Source organism: Homo sapiens, chromosome 13 (genome assembly GCF_000001405.40).
Source record: "Homo sapiens chromosome 13, GRCh38.p14 Primary Assembly".
Taxonomy (NCBI): Eukaryota; Metazoa; Chordata; class Mammalia; order Primates; family Hominidae; genus Homo; species Homo sapiens.
The window spans coordinates 108,044,182-108,046,411 of NC_000013.11; the positions used below are offsets into that span (position 1 = coordinate 108,044,182).

The following is a 2,230-nucleotide window of genomic DNA, read 5'->3' on the forward strand; positions in this document are numbered from 1 at the left end:
GATTATCAGAGTTATAAGAGCCAGTAAAGTTGAATCCCATCATTCATCACATGCTTCAATTGTATGTATTATACTAATATAAACATTGAAAAATAAATCTCTGATGTGAGAACCTTGTGACACCTTTGAGGTAAGTGTTTCTCTAACTGGAGTGATTCAACATCAGTGGTTTAGGTTTTTTTTTTAACTATTACTTAAGTGAGCACTGAAAATGTTAATCTGGATTTCAAATGTGTTTCTGAGAACCACATGAGACTTCAGGGTTTGAGTTTGCATTTGTTTTCATTAATCATATTTGCCACTATTGCTTTTTTTAGTTTTAACACACATGAGTTTGTTAGTTAATGTTGCTTAATTTTGGAGCATTTATGATGGAGAAAATTTCATAAAGTGAGTTTATAAAGAAAGATGAATTTTGTTTCTAGTATTTAAATGATTAGAAAATGAGGAGTTTAAGATGTCTTACCTAACAATGCATAATATTTTAACCAAGTAATCTCCATTCTCTGCCAACTGAAACAAGTTTTATAATGTTTATAGTAACAGATCATTGGTCTTCTTGAACACCCCAAAACTGATTTCTATCACATCGTTAGGGGCTTGGCTTTAAAACCATGACTCATATAACAATTTATAATTACAAAAATAATTATGAGAAATCCACAAGAATTTTACAAGATTGCAATACATCCATCACCAACAACAAGCGTTAAGGTGAGACTTTCTACATTCTCTGAGACTTATGTAGTCATACAGGGTTGCAGCCAGTGTAAAACTAAAAGCAACAACTTAATGAATCCATTCTCAACATTTATATCACTTCCTGCTTGGATTTTGCAGTTGTCTGAAGCAGCACTGCATCTTGTGGATATGGAGAAGGGAACACAGAACAGCAGGTCACAGTGCTCCCTCATGTTTTGTTTATCACTGCAGCTCTGAGCTGTTAACAGCTGTCAGCCCAGGGAGGGGCCTGGCGGCAGCTGGGACACCTCTCAGACCCACTGCAAGGTGCAGTAAATTGGTGGTGAAGTAGCATCCTCAGCAGAGACTGGCTCATGTGAACTGGAATAATTGGTACAAACAGGCTTTTGGTGACAAGCTACTCCACTTAGAGGAATAAACTACCTGCCTTTCACACTGCATGAAGTTATTTTCCTCCCTGGCTGAAACATCTCTAATCCCATTTCCAGACTCTGTCAATCTAATTATTTCTAGCATATACATAGAAGTGGATCAGAACTCTGGTTAGGTTCTGATGCTGAATTTTTGTGGTATTTCATTCCTAAATCTTGTATCAGAGGGTTTCTTGGATCAGCTGTTCCAATATAATCTATTAATCAATGTTTTCTCTTACCTTTTGTTAACATTTTAATGATTTTATTCTTGTCCAAGAATGTGCTTCAATTTCCTCCTTCCACCCTCTGTTTTTATCTTCTGTTAATGACAAATTTCCATTTCTTTACCTGAAATATAGTGGTAGTTGGATTAAATACTAATGGATTTTATGACCTTGTCAATAACAAAAATCATTCAATAGGAATTTGGTTTTCTAAGATATTCTAGTATCCTAGAGTGATTTACTTTAAGAATCGGACACCAGATTTAGCCTTTGTGGAAATAATCCTTGGGAAAATATTCTTATATGTTTACTATAAAAAAGTTCTAAAGCTTGAGCTATCCTAGCCATGTTCTCTTGCCTGCTAATTCATATGCAGTTTAGGCCTCAGAAAACATATAATAAACTTTACTTCCCAAAATACAATTTTGAATAGTTTTGAATTAGTGTCTTGATATATGATAGGTACTTTTTATTATATAGGATAGGTTACATCAATAAGGTAGAAAATTAGGTGCCATTCACCTACGTAAGGGGAAAATCAAAGCAAGTTGAAAATATATACATTTACAAGATTTGAAACTGTTCTCACATTTCCAGACCATTTAATTTATTTTACTTCTTCCAGGACAAATTTTTTCAGCATTTCCCTCTTACCATAACAATATAAGTTCGTCTCGGGTAAAGCTCTGGGTCATCCTAAGTGCGTTTGCTGCTTTAGTAGGCAACTAGGGATGGCCCAGGGGCAGCTTATTTGTGTTCACATCTTCCTTGCATGCTACCTCGATCCTGGCTGCGTGGACTGTGTGGCCCAACGTGTGTCTCCCGTTGCACGCAGGTTGCCCCTGGTTGCCCACCTGTGAGCAGATTGTGGGCAGCTGGATGGCCCCCGAT

At 36.5% G+C, this 2,230-nt stretch overlaps 1 annotated feature.

The window, feature by feature from the left end:
• Window positions 1,510-1,679: an enhancer, noted in NCBI's record as "experimental_32158 CRE fragment used in MPRA reporter constructs". NCBI's record gives its function as "activates a minimal promoter by MPRAs in K562 erythroleukemia cells, with activity observed for both the introgressed and non-introgressed 13:108698124 variant alleles {active_cell/tissue: K562}" and the evidence as "EXISTENCE:reporter gene assay evidence [ECO:0000049][PMID:34662402]".